The 17,953-nt window shown below is 37.1% G+C and overlaps 1 protein-coding gene across 7 annotated transcripts in view; it reads left to right on the top strand.

The window, feature by feature from the left end:
- The window catches only part of PRKG2 (protein kinase cGMP-dependent 2), a 130,467-nt gene that overhangs the window by 6,092 nt on the left and 106,422 nt on the right, over window positions 1-17,953 (top strand). For all 7 annotated transcript variants that reach the window (XM_017008415.2, XM_017008416.2, XM_047415963.1 and 4 more), the window contains one exon: window positions 6,685-7,158. In XM_017008415.2, coding sequence (XP_016863904.2) covers window positions 6,698-7,158 — 461 coding nt within the window. In that variant the 5' untranslated portion in view covers window positions 6,685-6,697. Of the gene's footprint in view, window positions 1-6,684; window positions 7,159-17,953 lie in introns of those variants that run through there.

Below are 17,953 nucleotides of genomic sequence, written 5' to 3'. Positions count from 1 at the left end.
TCAATTTTTTTCTTGAGTTCAAGAAGTTCAAGTCATTAAATAGTGTTGGGACTCTGAGCTTTAATCCTTAAACTATCACCTCCTATTTGGATTGGTGCAATAGTATCTTCCCTTGTCTTACTTCCTCTAAGCTCTTTTTACTCCATTCCTTATTTATGAGAATATTATTTTCCTAAAGGACAAATCTGACCACATAACTAGAGAACTTAGTGTATCTTAAGATTCAGATACCATAATGTGGCGTAGGAAATTTTTCAGTATCTTACTTTTTCAGTTTCATTATTCATTACTCTCCTTCCATCCATCACACATTTCAGCCTGTCCCTTGACTGTGCTATCAGCTTTCTTGCATTCATTTCTTAATACATAATTCTTTTCTTAAACTAATAGACTTTCTATATTGTAGAAATTTTAGGTTTATAGAAAAATTGAGTAAAAAGCACAGAGTTCCTATATACCCACCTCTTAGCACTTTCCCCTGCTCTTAACATCTTTCATCAGTATGGTACATGTGTTACAAGTGATGGAACAAATATTGATGCATTATTATTAAAGTCCATAGTTTACATTGGGGTTCATTCCTTTTGTATATTCCATGGGTTTTGACAAATATATAATGAAATGTGTATATCATTACAGTATCATATTGAATAGTTTTACTGCCCTATAAATGTTCTTTCCCACCTATTCCTTTCTGTCTTTCCCCAAGCTCCTGGCAACCACTGATCTTTCTATGGTCTCCAAGTTTTGTCTTTTCCAGAATGCTATACAGTTGAAATCATACAATGTATAGGCTTTTCAGATTGGCTTCTTTCACCCAGCAATATGCATTTAAAGTTCCTTCATGTCTTCTTGTTGGCTGATATTGCTTTTATTATTGAATAATATTCTATTATATGGATGTGCCACAGTTTGTTTATCCGTTTACCTACTGAGGGACTTCTTGGTTGCTTTCAGGTTTTGGGAATTATAAACAAAGCTGCCATAAACATTCATGTGCAGATTTTAGTGAAAACATATGTCTCATATCAGTTGGGTAGATACCAAGAAGCATGACTGCTGGCTTGTAGAGTAAGAGTATATTTAGCTTTGTAAGAAGCTGCCAAATTGTCCCCTAATGTAACTATATCATTTTGTATTCCCACTAGCAATGAATGAGCATTCCTGTTGCTCCATATTCACACCAGCATTTGGTGTTGTCAGTGTCTTGGATTGTAGTCATTGTAATAGGTGTGTAGTGGTATCTCATTATTGTTTAAATTTGAGATTCCCTAATGACCTATGATGTTGAGTTTCTTTTTATATGCTTATTTATCAACTGAGTGCCTTGTTTGGTGAGGTGTCTGCTCAGATCTTTTGCCCATTTTTCAGTTGGGTTGTTTGTTTTCCTATTATTGAGTGTTCAGAATTAGACATATGTTTTAGAAGTACGTTCTCTCAGTCTATGGCTTGTTTTTTCATTTTCTTCTTTTTTTTTTCAGAGCAGAAGTTTTAAATTTTAATCAAGTCAAAATTGTCAATTTTTTCTGTCTATGAATCAGGCTTTTTGGTCTTTTATCTAAAAAGTCATCACAAAACCCAAGATCACCTAGAATTTCTCCTATGTTGTCTTTTGGGGGTTTTGTAATTTTGTTTCTTACATCTAGGTCTGTGATCCATTTTAAGCTAATTTTTGTGAAAGTTATAAGATCGGTATCTAGATTCTATTTTTTTAAAAATTAATGCCTAGTTGTTCCGGTACAATTTGTTAAAAAGACTATCCTTTCTCCATTGACTTGTCTTTGCTCTCTTTTGTATTCTTTGATCTTTGGATCAGTTGACTGTACTGTTTAGGTCTACCTCTGGGATCTCTGTTCTGTTCCATTGATCTACTTGTCTATTTTTTCACCAATACAACACTATATTGATTACCGTTACTTTATTAGTAAGCCTTAAAGTTGGACAGTATCAGTTCTCCTTCAATATTGTGTTGGTTTAGTACATGTTTTCAGTTCAATAAGTTTTTCCTCTAAGATAAATTCTCTTGTTGGATAAATAATGTTAAATGTAATAATAATAGTAATATTTAATATTTCTTAAACAAATACTATATGCTAATACCTGTGCTAAATTTTCATCATGATTTATCTCATTTAATCCTCTAAAAACTGTAAATGACAGGCAGCATTGTTTTGTCTATCTCTCTATGTTTCTATCTTTTTCTTCCATTATTGACACTCAAGTATCTTGCCTGAGGGAATATAGACCACTAAATGAAAGTGCTTCCACTGGGACTCTGGATCCATAACCTTAGCCAGCACCATACCATCTCCCATATTGACAGATATACATGTAGCTATACACACACATCTATATATGTGTGTGTGTGTTTGTCTGTGTATATTTATAACAGACTCCAGATGGGTAGAGAGAGAAATAGATATTATCTAGACCAGAGCCAAGATTCTGGTTTCAAACTGCTATAGGGCTGGAGGAAAAACAGAAAACAAAGCTTAATTCCTCCCACATTGACTGCCAGGTGTTAATCCGCCTGCAAGCGCCTTCACAGTCACTTTTGCTTTTCTTATGTCTCTTCTAATTACCCTTGGTGGACAGCAATTTCTAAATGGCGATTACATTAATATAATAATTTGTAGTCTTATGTAGTTTCCTCTCTTCTAGCGAAATGCCACTACTCATTCGATTGCTGTCTCCTATACCTAACTGCAGAAGAGTATTGCCTCCAGAGTGAACTATGGTTTTTGGTTGCCTTCAAAGATAATTAGGTGGGCCTCCATGTTTTAAGCATTTCATTGCAGTGTGTGAAAATAAATAGGGGCTACATGAGGGAATTACAGAGCTTCAATTATTAAGTCCTTGTAGTTATGAACTGGCTCCGTGTCATTCATAATTCTTTTTTTGTCTCCATCTTTTGGTGGGGAACTTGTTTTCCAGGCTGTTTGTTTCCAAATGACTTCTTTTCTCAATGGAAGATAGAATCCAGGCAAAGTAAGAGTCCCTTACTCCCGGCCACCACCTCCCAAAGGAATAATGTGCATCTTTAAAGAGTTTTGTCATTTGAGAGGCTGAGGCAGAAGGGTGGTTTGAGCCCAGGATTTCGAGACCAGTTTGAGCAACATAGTGCAAGACCCCATCTCAACAAGAAAATAAAAAAAATCAGTCAAGCATGGTGGTGTGCCTCTGTAGTCCTAGCTACTCTGAAGGCTGAGGCAAGAGGGTCACTTGAGCCCAGGAGTTTCAGGTTATAGTGATTGCACCACTGGCCACTGCATCTCATGGCTGCAGAATGAGACCCTGTCACAAACAAACAAACAAAAACCCACAAAAGACTCTTGTGGAAGACATCCAGTTTACTAGACTTCTGTCCTACCCAGAAATGATCCTCTCTGGGTTTTCTTCACACCTAGACATTAATTGCCTGTTTCTAGTTACATACTATAATAAGAGCTGCTTACCTACTTCATGTCTGATACCTGCCAGGCATCATATGGGGTACTTTACAAACGTAATAATCATAGTAACCCTACGAGATGGATATAAATATATTCCCTTTTGTAGATGAGAAAGTAAGACTCAAAGATTTTTAGGAATATATAGAAGGTTGAGAAAGAGCAGATTGTTTTATAACCCTAATTGGCCTGACTCTATTGCTCATGTTAAATTCTGATCTTTATCTCCAGACTCATTTCTTATTGCATCATGTGCTGCCCTCTGACTGTAAGAATGATTTTAATAACCTGCAGTTGCCAGACTGATGGAGCAACATCCTATGGTTCATTTCTCCTTGTGGCTAGCAATACATATTTGAGAAATAGCTTATCTTAGTGACTGATACAGGAAACAGAGTGAATCTAATTAGGTTTTATGAAGCCAGAGACTTGAAACCTTGGCTTCAGGGACAGCAATATTTAAATGGATGAACTAAGTAAGAAATCAGACTAGTATTGAGCCATTTAGTAACTTACTTACGTATCTTAAATTAGTGACTTGAAAGATGAGTTAGTTACTCTCATTTTACCCCTCTTTGAAATTCTAAATAGCTTGAAAGATTTACATAGCTTCCAACTAAACCAGAGGATAATTGGTGTTTTGGGAGAATTTAACATCCTCTACCTAACTGTGCTTCAAGTTTGTAAAATTATTGGATTGGTACAGAATTTTTTGAATACCATCCATAGAGCAAAAATGATTCTAAGCCTTTTCATATTTGTAATGCTAAAACTGTTTTCTGTGTCAAATTTGACTGCAAATCCATGATGGGATATGCCTCTGATATGGTATATGATACTTTGGTCTTAGTAAACAATTTTTCCATGAACAAAAATGAGTTAGTTGTTAGTTTAATATTAGATTTGAAAGTTTTTATGCGTGCTTTTTTATTTATAAGGCAAATCCTTTTCCTCCTACCATCACATCTCCCTTCTTTCTCTACTGACCTAAGAATACTTCTCCATGAACCAAGAAGGCTGTCTAGAAAATGGGTCACTGATGCGTGTTAAAAACGTGTGTACACATTAATTTCAGATTTTTTGGAGCACCTTTCTTATGCTTGTAATTCATAATCTCATTCAGGTTTATTCTCAGATTTCAATATAACATATTCTGAATTGCTTATTCAAGGTACAAGTATGTCCAGGGCTACTTCTTTGAATTCTAGTCTCTTCATCCTTCTTATACATTCATAATATATAAGATCAGTAAATGCTGCCAAGTCAACAGAAACTTAAAGGTTAAACCTGCCACATCTCTGCAACATATTAAGGCAATTCTCCAAAGGCTAATGTTTATTAATGACCACTTTGAACCTGAATTCTATGAGAAATAAGTAGGTGTTTCAAGATTGCTTTTATAAATGCATTTGTTTTTTGCACCATCCATTGTAGGCAATCTGCATTGACTATTTGGTCACATCTGTTTGAAATCTAGATGCTGTGTTACATCTTTGCATCTGTGCCTTTGTTGTTGTAGAGGTCACAGTTATTCTGGTAGAACTAGTGAAAAAACTCTAAGTATTTCACTTCTATTTAAGTTTGAAGTTTGGAGGGCGAGAGGGGCAGATGTGTGGGTTATAAAACTGTTTCATTTCTTCTGATTTGAGATAATCAGAACTAATTCAAGCTTAGTTTACAAGTGTTATAATGCTTTTTGGGTTATGGCTGTTGTATTAGTCTGTTCTCATGTTGCTATTATAATAAAGACATACCTGAGACTGGGTAATTTGTAAAGGAAAGGGGTTTAATGGACTCACAGTTCTACATGGCTGGGGAAGCCTCATAATCATGGCGGAAGGCAAAGGAAAAGCAAAGGCAAACTCCCCTTTATAAAACCATCAGATCTCATGAGACCTATTCACTATCACGAGAACAGCATGGGAAAGATCCGCCCCCATGATTCAGTTAGCTCCCATTGGGTCCCTCCCACAACATGGGGATTTATGGGAGCTACAGTTCAAGATGAGATTTGGGTGGGGACACAGCCAAATGATATCAGCTGTCAAAAACTGCATGTGCAAAAATATGAAGTTTAAATAGGTAGTCTAAAAAGCCTTAAAACATTATAATAATTAATTAGAGCAGTATTTCCCAAAGTTCACACATTCAAGTTCTACTTTTGTGAGTCTGCTCGTGTGTGCTTATTATCTGCAGATGATTTATTTTTATTTTCATCGAATTGACTCAGTAAACCTGAATACCTAGTTTAGTCTTCACTGAAGCAATAATAACAATGAGATCACAACTTTGTGGTGATAGTTATTTATATTTCAAATACATGTTAAAATAAATACATAGCTATTAGACTAAAACAAGTTCTGAATAAACTAAATCATCCCTTATAACCCCTGATCTGCATACCACATCCAGAGACTCACTAGATTCATGATTACTTTGGGGCCTGAACTGAAGATATTCATTTTTTTAATTTTTGAAATTTTCATAACTTCCCACACTACACCAATGTTAGGAGGACATTCTTAATAGGAAAAGAATAGAGCCTTGCAGCATGGGTCGTACATTTTGGAGATCCTCCACTTTGGACATAAAGTAGAGGATGCAGAACAATTTTAAAACTCTTCTTGTTGGTGACCACAGTTCAGAAGTGTTTTAGCAGTGAGTGTTATCAGAAATGCAAAACTTAATAGATACATACAGCAGGAGGAAAGTGCTAATCAACCATCACCAACTCTGCTTCCGTCTTCTGAGAAATGCAGATGTGTAATTTTCTAAATCTGGGGAAGGTTTCTTACTGTTGCCGCATGGGGAGCTATGAAAGTTGTGACATTTCCATGCCTCTGTTGTTGTAGCTGCTCATTTGCATTTTATCTTTGCCATGCTGACATCCAAATCACAGTTTTGATGTGATGCTTTTGGCAGCTGTTCAGAGAGACTGTCCAGAGAAAACAGCAGGTAACTCAGACCATTTGTGAAAAATGTTAGGTGTGATACTTATGCTCTCAAAGGGACAGGTAAGAATGAACCCAAATGCCAACTCCTCTTCATGGAGGGAAAAAAGAAATCAATAGATAGCTTTTTTTTTTTTTCTGGAAACTTCGGGAAGTTTATTGCTTTTCAAACAATGAAGATTACTGTGTTCCTATTTATGAAACAAGATAGGAATGAGAGGAATGGTGGGGACTGTTGGGAAGTGAAACTCCACTTGATACTTCCCAATTCTGTGCCTTCTCAGGTCCCTGAGCAAAATGGGAAATGGTTCAGTGAAACCTAAACATTCTAAGCACCCAGATGGACACTCTGGGAACCTCACCACTGATGCTCTGCGGAACAAGGTGACAGAGCTGGAGAGAGAGTTGAGGAGGAAGGATGCTGAGATCCAGGAGCGGGAGTACCATTTGAAGGAGCTGCGGGAGCAGCTGTCGAAGCAGACTGTGGCCATTGCTGAACTCACAGAGGAGCTCCAGAACAAGTGCATCCAGCTGAACAAGCTGCAGGATGTGGTGCATATGCAGGGAGGAAGCCCGCTTCAGGCCTCTCCAGATAAAGTGCCTCTTGAGGTCCACCGGAAGACCTCTGGATTGGTCTCTCTCCATAGCAGGAGGGGAGCAAAGGCTGGCGTGTCTGCTGAGCCAACAACCCGGACCTATGACCTGAACAAACCCCCTGAATTTTCCTTTGAGAAAGCAAGAGTCAGAAAAGACTCCAGGTAAGAAATTTCCGCATCCTTTAAACTCAGATGGGCTTAATATTGTGAAATATGAGAGTGACATTTATTAAGCCTCCTTAATGATAAAGAACATATTGACCCTTTCAGATTTTGGGGTAGAGGGGTTTTTGAAATGATTTTGTTTTGCAAAAAAATCTCCCATTGGGCAGAAGTTTAAAGTAGAAATTGTACTATATATATCTCTCATGAGGAGCTCAGTTTACTGACAATTATTTCTATTACCTTGAAAACCCTAGGGGTGTGAAATAGTATTAGAAAGTGTACACTTCTTTTTCTAGAGGAGTGAACTTAAAAATGTACACACATCACAGTGAATTGTGACTATGTTAGCCAAAAAAAAAAAAAAGAGAGTCACATTTTAGTAGTCTTCAAGTGTCATGGAAAAGGAACATGCTGGAGCCTCAAAGATGAATTCATTCATTCATTCCAGTTTATGGTGGTCTCTACTCTCTGCCAGCCACTGTGTTAGATGCTAAGTATGCCTCAGTGAATAGAAACAGAGCCTTTCTAGCAGGGGCGGTAAACAGTATACACAGAAACAAGTCAGCAATGTGTAATTATTAATTGGAATCAATAATATGATAAAAGCCAATACTATAGCAGGTGGTATCTGGAGTGAAGGGAAAGGAGGTCAGGGAGACAACAGAAGCAGGCTTGTCATGAAGGCCTGGCTGAGGAAGTGACCTTTAACAGACTTCAAGGAGCATGAACCAGGCAGGAAGAGGATTTCAGGCAGAGGGAACAATTAAAAGCTAGAATTACTTTTAAAAATTTGAGTTTTTAAAAGAACATATAAATACTTGCCTCTGCATTCATGTATAGGGGTGTGTGTGTGTGTGCGCACACATGTGTGTGTATGCATTTCTTTATGGGCGAAAGTTTGATTTTCTGGGTCAGGGAAGACTCATTAGAAACATCATTAGTTAGGGTTCCCTTCCCTTACTATTTTTAACTGAGTATTTATTAATTGAAATTAAATCTTTTGCCTCGATAATGCCTTGGTCGAGCCTGAATCTCTATTGCAAAATGCAAGATTTGTGAAATTAAAACAAATTTTAACATTCACAAATGTAAGTATTATAAATTAAGATAAAACATCTGACCCAGACAAACAAATGATCAATTTTAACAACAGAATTATAAAGGGAGGTTTAATTAATCAATTTGTTGACAGTACTGGAAGCATAGTGAATGATCAATAAATATTTGTGAAGGAAGTTAGTGATGCCAGATTATTAATTATAATATCCTGTGACTGAAAGAAATTTGATTAATATTGGATTTCAGCAGTTTTATTAAGTCAAAATTTTTATTAGTCTAAAAATTTCTCATCTATTTCCTTTCAAAAGTAATAATCATTTTTAATGGTATGAATTCTGAAATTATAGATGGCACAAACTTATATTTGTTTTAAAAAACTGAACATCATCCAGTGTTCTCTTCTGTTAGAGATATATGAACTCTACATAGTATATGTATATATATACATATATAATAATATTACAGAATGTGCATTACATTACTATATATGTACACGTAAGTATAATCTATTATTTACTCACAAAAATGTTACAAATAGCAATGTACTTTTTTATGCAGAATGACATGTAAGAGAATTTAGTAGCAATTCATCTCCTTTGACCTTCTCCCTATATATGACACCAGATGTATTCTCTTGAACCAAGATTATGTTCAATTACTTTGTTCAAAGACTTATGCTCATCTTGAGGCAAAACACCATGCTCCTGGTGCTGAAAAATCTGAGATAAGCGTATTTCCTTGCTTTTATTTAAGGATAAATTATTAGCTCTGCTATAATCAGGCAAAAAAAAAATCAGTAGTTATATACACTTTCTGTGCCAAACCAGACTTCTTTCTGTCTGTCTATAGTGAATGGGACACAGGAAGGATATTGTATCTCCTGAATAAGGATTATTGATTATTCTCCTCACCATAAAGGCAAGCCAAGTGGATACAAGTCTGTGTTGTGGTCAGGATAAAGAAATGGGCTAATTGATTTCTTAATGATTAAGTCCTAAAGAGACAAAAACTGTATCATCCATGCCCTAACAATCCTCATCTGCTTTCACAGAGCCTTGTGGTTCTAAATTGAATAATTAAATAAAAAATGGAAACATTCTTTTTTAGTTGACTGGTTTGTACCTCAGTTTCCCTTGCAAAAAGTACAGATACCTCCTTAAGTCTGAAATAACTAGCTAAACACAAATAGTTAACTTTATAAATTCAGAAATTTAAAATTTTTCAATTTTTCAAAAGTGCTCAATATTACAATTCATTTTCCATTTGCAAATCATTTCAGTATTGGATAAAAGCCAAAAGTAAACTTTGGATATTTTTATATCTCTTTTATATTATACAGCCTGTCAAAAATTTGTAAGAAACAATTTTCCAGAAGTTAGAGCATTAAAAGGATAGACATGTCCTTCACTGATGAAAGGATGATGTACAGTATACATTAGTTTGTCTACTTTTCCAAGCAGTTCCTGCTAGATATCAGAGATTTTAAGATCATCAGTCATAATGGCTCTTCTGTTTATTTTTTGGTTCTCCTAATTTATTTGTTGGACTTTTATAAAGTATCCTGGCTGAATTTATGGCTAAATCTGTTTCTATTAATATACACATCAACTACATTTTGGACAATGTTCACCCTTCCATACTGGATCAGAAAGCCACTGAATGTCTCTTCAGTTTTTTTGTCTAAGAGAGTATTTCTGATGAACACTTAACAGTGAGCAAGAAACTGAGGGGAGACTCCTAGCTCTCCTTCAGTCAACAATATTAGGGAGATATGAAGCACCCATAGAAGCCAGAGAATAAAATTTGATGGCATGATAGATTCTGAATTTGAATATTCAGTTCCTATAATTCATGACACAGTATTCTATGATTTTGCTAAGGTACCTGTGCTTAGATATATCATAAGTGGTGAGTGAGCCTCTTCAATTGCTAGGCACCACCAGCTCATGCCAGCTTTATTGTCCTGTACCCATCAAATATACTTTTATGGTCTGAAGGTGTAACTTAATTTGTCTAATTGTACCTCCCTACTTTATATGGAGGAGCTCATAATGAAACTCTACTGGCATTAGGGAATTCTGGAAATTTGTTTCTTTCTAATTTCAAGGATCTGCATTTTAATTTCAGGTTCTAGATTCAGTGCTGTCCAGTAGAACTTTCTTCAGTGATGGAAGTATTCTATAATCCATGCTTTACGATATGGTAGCCAATAGCCAAATATGGCTATTGAGCACTTGAAATGCAGCTAGTGCCACTAAGAAACTGGATTTTTAACTTATTTTCTTACAAAGAAGCTTGAATCTGATGGATTTTTATTTTTAATTAATTTAAACATTGAATAGTCACATGTCTATTGCCTACTCTACTGAATACTGCAGTTCTAATGGTTTTGACTGTAACTGCTATTGCCTAAGATGGGAATTATGACTTAGTTTGGGAACCCTTTGTAGACAAAGTGAGACCTATGTTCAGTTTTAGGACAACGCCACAGAAAATGAGTCTATGCCTGTGAGATTGAGGTGGGCACAATGTGGAGTCACTCGTCAGCTGCACCCAACCTGCAGTATATCATAGCTCTTTGTAGGGACCTGGCTTTGTGCCTACTGACCATTTTAGATCATCAAAACCATGCAGCATGCAGTGGGCATGTAGCCTGTTTCTATAACAGGCACTCAGCTTTATTGAAGTATTATAAATTTCATGATGAATCAGGGTACTACAATGTGTCAAATACTCTGATCTCTGACTTAAATTTAATATGTTGAACATCAGAAGACCTTGGAGCCATAGGAACCTTACAGATTGTTTGATGCTACCCCCCTTACTAGAGAAGTAAGGACACAGGTACTGGGGAGTTATGGAATATACCGTGGTTGGTGGCAGAGCTAAGATTAGAATCCAAGACTCTTGAAATCAGGATCAGTTCTTTTCGTCTTAAGTCCTACTCTAGTGTTGTAAGAACTACCCACAAATGTGAAAGGCCTTGATTAGACCAGCCTGGGCACCAGTCTGCCTTATTACAGTGTGCCCCATTGATTGATAGTAAGAGTGGTGGTGCTTCCTGGAGCTTCCTAGCTTCATCCATGTGGAGTTGAGCAGAGGTGGCCCATTGCATCGATGCCTACTAAGTTCTGGATCCTTAGAGCTGAGGTCTGTGAGAAAAGGACATTGCGAATGGGTTTGATCCACCTGATGGCAGCAACTGTGGCATATATGGAGGGTCACATATGGGTTCCTGAATAATTACAGTGCTTCTCAAGGCTGAGAACTGAATATCACTGGCAGAGAGGGCAGGGAAGAGCTCACATAGCATTTCTGCCCATGTCTGGTCTGCCTTGAGCACCAAGACAACCATGCATTCAGATGTCAGACCTTTTACTGAGATTAAGTTTTTCTTTTCTGTTTATGTAGATATTGTTTAGAAAACTTCATCAGAGCAAAAATAGGAGCTCATGCTGAATGTCTGGTGGAACACAGGCAAATTAATCAGAGACATCTGGCAAGTTGCTGGTATGACTGCATTTTGCTAGGGATGCTTAAACTATCATTTGAAACTATTGTTCTTTCATGAAAAGGAAAGATAAAACAAAGACTTGCCATCTGACTTCAGATTTGACTCCAGTTTTAGGAAGGACAATTCATTTTATCTGTCACTCCCACCACAGGAGCAGAATAGGTAAAAGAAGAAAATGCTAGTGAGTCATACGTTTAAATAAGATGTGGAAAAGGACTGTGGAAGAATATGTTTGTTTTTATTTGCTTCCTTTCCAAAGCAGTACTGAGCATTTGAGGATGTGCACTACAGAACATGTTTTCTTTATTGAAGAGGAATGTTTCCATGGGAAAAAATATTTATATACCACTAATTATGTGCCAGTCACCACTCTGAATGCCTCGCAAATACTGAATCATTTAATCCTCACAATAAACCTATAAGATAGATATTATTAATCACTCCCATTTTATATATGAGAAAACTGAGGCACACAGAATTATATAACCTGCCAAAGGTTATGTAGAGTGTAATATAGGAAACAGAATTCAAAATCAGAAAACCCGCTGTCCAGATTCTGCTCTATTCATTCCTATAGATAATTTTTTCAAGATAACAATCAGAGGTGGACTCTTGACCTTTTTATTGGAAGGCCTTATTTAAAAATTACATATATAATCAGAAATAATTTTTTTTAAATGCAATGATTAGAAAAATCTCCCTGCTATTGTTATTTTTCCCTGAAAATGATTCTTCCAGAAAGTGCTACTCTATTAGCAGTTTGCAGGAGTGGGAACTTTTGCTGGGGAGGAAACATCCCTTTTTTCCCTTCCATGAAATACTGACTTACATGTTGCCATATGAGAGGCTCTATACCTAGATTTTACATAGATAATTAAAGATTTTTAAGAGTGTATATACAGGCTTTTACCAGTTGGACAGTTACAAAATTGGTATATATTCTCATAAATACTATTGTCTTAACCCGGGTCTTTAGAAAAGCAAAAATTGAAGCTGTCTATATAGGATAAGGCATGGAAGAAGAAAAATAATCCAGTTTTGTGGTGATCTGATACCAAGAATCTATGGTGAAGGTAACTGGGTGATATATCTGGTGAAAGTTGTCAGTATGCTTGAAAACAAAAGGTTATATTTCATAGTGATAGACAATGTGCATGTAGACACTCAGATCAAAACTAGCTACTCAGCGATGGGATGAAAAAACTAAGTTATTGGTTGGCTATTACATATCTGTCATTCTCCATAATTAACTCATGAAGGCCTCAGACTTGCCTAATGAGGCATCAGTTTTTTGTTTTACTGAAGGTGAAATTAAAGCTTGGGGTCATTCAACTTGCTCCAGGTTGTAATGTTTATATATTTTTGGAAACAGTTTTCCAGTTTGAGTCTGCTTGATGTCAAATGTGTATTCTCTACCACAATGTGCACAACATTTATAGCCTGTGCAGCCTACAGTGTGAGTGGCTTCCCTTGGGGTTGTATAACCAGGCTGGGGGCTATTTTTGTGGGGGTGAGGTAGGGTGGGTGGTACCGTTAAGCTCCAAAAAAAGGAAGAGGTAAAAAGCATGGAGGAATTTAGGAGCCTGACTGGAATTAAGTGGCAGCTGCCTTGACATCTAGATGAAGTTAAATAAGCTTTGGCAGCCGGTTTGAGTCCTGGCACCCAGCCAGTCTCCCTTTGTGCCTCTGTCTTTTCTTTTCTCTAGGAGCCAATGAGCTCTGGGCTCTGCTCACTCTGCTTCCCCACCTCAGCCCTCTCAGCCTCTCAAATGGTCTTCTTCTTAGTTGATATCTGCCCTTTAGTCCTTCTCACTTTATCCTTAAAACTTCTAGTCTTAGTTGCTAGGCGTTAGGAAAAATATTTAATGAAGCCTTGGAAAACACTGAGGATTTGAAGGCTAATTGTTTTGAGTAGTCAAAGGTCTAAGAGCTCACTGTTAGCACTGTGCTGACTCTGAGGAGCCTACCCTCGCCTTGTGGGCTACATTCCTAAGGGGATGCACAATGCTATTTTTACACTACACAAAAACCATGGCACTTTTGGACCCAGTACCTAGCCTTGGCTGAGCAGCTTTAATGTCCAAGTTTCCCTTTACTCCTTCAGATTAATACATCCAATGCAATAAATATTTATTGAATATTGAATCAATGAATCCAATTCTTTAATATTTTCTTCCACGTTTGCTTCCCTTTTCCTTATTTCATGTTGTCTTCCCTCCTTCATTTTTTTTTCACTAATTCTTTAATTTGGTTTCTTCCTAATCTTCTCTCATTCTCAATATCTGACTAGTCAATGGCCAATACTACCAATTTTGAGTATCTTATTTGGTACACTCTGCTATGACCTATCTATAGTTATCTCACTTATTTTCACAGTTAACCTATCTGGTAAGTATTATTATATGAGGCTTATTAAGAGTAAGTAACTAGCCCATGGTTATCACTAGTAGTGGCTAAGGCTTCTATAAACTCACCTAGATGTTAAAACATCTGCCTCTTAATCACAACAACTCTGAAATCTATTCTCATTTTATTTCGCTTGCTATTGTTTTAATTTATGTAGGATATTTATAGCAGTTTCTGGATCTGCTTGGTTCCAAATTGGTTATTCCAGGTGAGTTTGAGCAGTGCTGGCTTTTAACAAGGGTCCTGGTTGCCTGGGCAGGAGCCTTCACCTCTTCTCCCTTACATTTTCTAAATGTCCTCTGAAATGGGTGGCTCCTTTTGACCCTTTTTTTTTCTTTTCTCAAAAACATTCTGGACACTGCCCATTCCTTGCTAGATACCCAGGAAGGACTGTAGTAGAAATAGCGTCATTGAGAAGACAGTGGACAGTGGTCTTTCTTTTTCTTGCTTGCTGGATAAGAGAGAAACATCACCACTGGCCTTTGCCTCCTAGTGAGCAGCATTCAGTTTCCACAGAACCTCCCTTTTCTTTCCATAAGCCTGAGCAGCTCAGCTCCTGTCGCCTCTTTCTAGAGTTTAAATTGCAATACAATTCTCAAGAAGGGGAACAGATCTGAAGACAAGGATGAAACGTTTCGATTTTCAGACACTTTGGAAGTCCGTTCTTTGTGAAAGGTACATTTCTTGTATCTATCCTTTAACTAAAAGTGTTTCTTTTCATTAAAGTCTCACTTTAAAATGATTTGTCTTCTTTCTGCTGACTCTCCCTAGAGGTATTTGTTAGTTGTAGATTTTAAAGTGCAGTTATGTGTGACAGGTTTCTTTCTTTCTTTCTTTCTTTTTTGAGATCTATAGCCAGGAATGGCCAGAGAATATTTTATATTTTATATATATTTTATAATAAAATGCGAGTCATCAGGGTCCCCCAACATCTGTTTAATCCTTCTTGGGTTATTTGTGATGCCAAATCAATTTTAATTGGTAAATTTCAAGCAGGTGTTTAAATGGTCTTTTTGGGGCTTACAGATTAAGCTCTGGGAAATATGAGAGAAAGAAAGACCTAGAGCTTCCAGTTCCCTCTTTCCAGGTGAGATGAGGAAAGAGGAAGTACAAGTGAGAAGAACAAGATACAACTTGAAATTTCTTGTCAACAGAAACTCAGGAAATGCAAGCATATTGGTTTTCTATTGCTGTGCAATAAATTACCACAAACTTAGTAGCTTAAACAACACATATTTGCTATCTCAGTTTGCAGTGGGCCAAGAGTCCAGGTGTGACTTATTTAAGTCATCTTCTCTGACGTCAGCCACAAGGCTGCAGTCAAAGGGTCAACTGGCCGTGTTCATTTCTAGAGCTTTCTACAGGAAGAGGTCCTCTTCCCAGCTTACGTGATTGTTGGCCAAATTCAATTCCTTGTGGTTGTAGGGCTGAGGTCCCCATTTTCTTGCTAGCTGTCAGCTGGGGCTGCTCTCAGCTCCTAGAGGCTGCCTAGAGTTCCTGCCTTGCGTCCCTCTCACAGGCCCTCTCATAGCATGGCAGCTTACTTCTTCAGACTCAGCTGGATAAGCCCTTTACAGTTAACTAAGATGAAGTCTTATATAACCTACCCAGGAATGGCCTTCCGTCATCATTGCTGTGTTTTGTTGATGAGGAGCAAGTCACAGGTCCTCACTCCTCATTCACCAAGCCTTTTGCTTCTCTGGTGTGAGATTCCTGTTTAGGAATATTGGCTATGCCGGGTAGGTAAAGCCATGCATAAAAAATCTTGTACATCCATGCTTATAGCAGTGTTATTCATAGTAGCCAAAAAGCAGAAACAACCCCGTGTCCGTCAACAGATGAATGGAGAAACAAAATGTAGTATATACATGCAATGGGATATTATTCAGCCTTACAGAGGAACTCTGACACATACTACAGCAGGAATGAAGCTTGCAGACATTAGCCAGACTTAAAAAGACAAATGCAGGATTCCATTTATATGAGGTACCTCGAATCGTCAAATTCATCGAGACAGAAATTAGAATGGAGATTGCCAGGAGCAGGAGGGGTGAGGAGACCCAGGGAATATATAATAGGTACAGAGTTCCAGTTTGGGAAGATTCTGGAGATAGATGGTGGTGATGGTTGTAAAACAATGAGAATATACTTATTGCTACTAAACTGTTCACTTATAAATGGTTAAAATGATACATTTTATGTTATGTATATTTTATTAAAATTAAAAAAAAGTTCACACACTGAGGCTAACTTGACAGCATGTTTCTAGGTGCCAGGCCACGTTTCAGGTTCCAGACAGAATGCTGGGAGGAGGGAGAGGAGAGTAGGGATTTTCTCACTTGTGTATTATATTGCAGAAGAGAACAAGCTATGTCAAATTCTTGTAACAAACATTAATTGATCATTGTTAATCAATACTTGTTAATTACCTAATTGATTGATTAATTGATGAGCCTTCAGTAGAGCATGTTCCTAGTGCTGTGGAAATATAGAGGGAAGGGACAACTTCAACTCTCTTCCATGTTGTTGTTTACAGCTGTAATCCTTAATCTTAAGTTTACATTGTAATCACCTGTAATAAGAAGTACTGATGCCTGGGTCTAACCCCCAGGTATTCTAACTAAATTGATTTGAGGCAAGAGCCCTGGGCATATGGATTATAGGTGCGTATATATATATATGTATATTAAAAGCTCCCCTGCTGATTCTCATATGAAGCCACCATTGAGGAGCATTGTGTTATAGGAGCAGGTTTCCCTGCCGCTGACTCCTCAACTACTTGGTTTGAAGATTTAAGAGCAGTACTAATTAGAGACATTTAAAGGAACTGTTTGCCTTTTATACCTAATTACCATGCAACACAATGATAATTATGCCTGTCATTGAGTGTGTCAGATAAACTTCTTTGTAAGTTTTGATTGTTTTCAACATTTCATTGTTAAACCCTGCTCTTTGATGCTCATGGGAATAAAATCATCTACACAAACTTAAGGAAGAGAGAGAGAGAAATGTTTTGTTGTGAGCATGAAATAACAGCCAACAGAATTAAATTACAACTGTATTTAATTATATGGGCAATAAGTAAAAGAATTGAGAGAAGAAAGTCATGCTTATTTTATGACATCCATGGGATGACCTCATTTTTGTCACGCTAGTTTCTCAAATTATAAACTTGTGCATTTATTAGGTTTTTTTTTTTTTGGTTCATCACTCAAAAACAATTATCTGGGGATGGGGAAGAAAATAGAGATGCGTATCCTGTTTATTAAATGTGCCTTGTTTATTAGGGTGACTGACGTTTTCCAACTCCACTCTTGTCCCTGTACCCATAATTTTTAAATTGGGAGAAAGAATTTGAATGTCCTTTGGGTTTCTTAATTTTGTCAAGTTTCTAATATGTGCAAAATACAGTTCTAGGTATTAAGTAATAAGAAAAACACAGTCATACCCTTGAAGATCAGTGTCTCTTTGGGGAAATTATAATTTATGGGATTAATATTCTAAGAGATAGGCATGCAAAGGAAAGCGGGCACATTCTTTACTTGGTAGGGTAGAAGAGAAAATCTCTAGCTGGGTTTTTAAGGAGGAATAGATTATAGGAGACAAAGAGGCCTGGCACTGTGTGGTTTGGTGGGTCTGGGGTACCCTAAGTATGGGGAACCTAGACAGGAAAGGAGCATTACCATTTTGAAGTGGCCTCCTTCAATAAGTAAAGGTAGGTCTTAAATATACAGTTTTTGTTTGTTTGTTAATTTATTTTTGAGATGGAGTTTTGCTCTGTCTGTTGCCTAGGCTGGAGTGCCGTAGTGTGAT

Source organism: Homo sapiens, chromosome 4, assembly GCF_000001405.40.
Source record: "Homo sapiens chromosome 4, GRCh38.p14 Primary Assembly".
In the NCBI taxonomy this organism is placed as follows: domain Eukaryota; kingdom Metazoa; phylum Chordata; class Mammalia; order Primates; family Hominidae; genus Homo; species Homo sapiens.
Note: the sequence above shows the minus strand (reverse complement) of the source record. Positions and strands in the feature narration are given on the sequence as shown.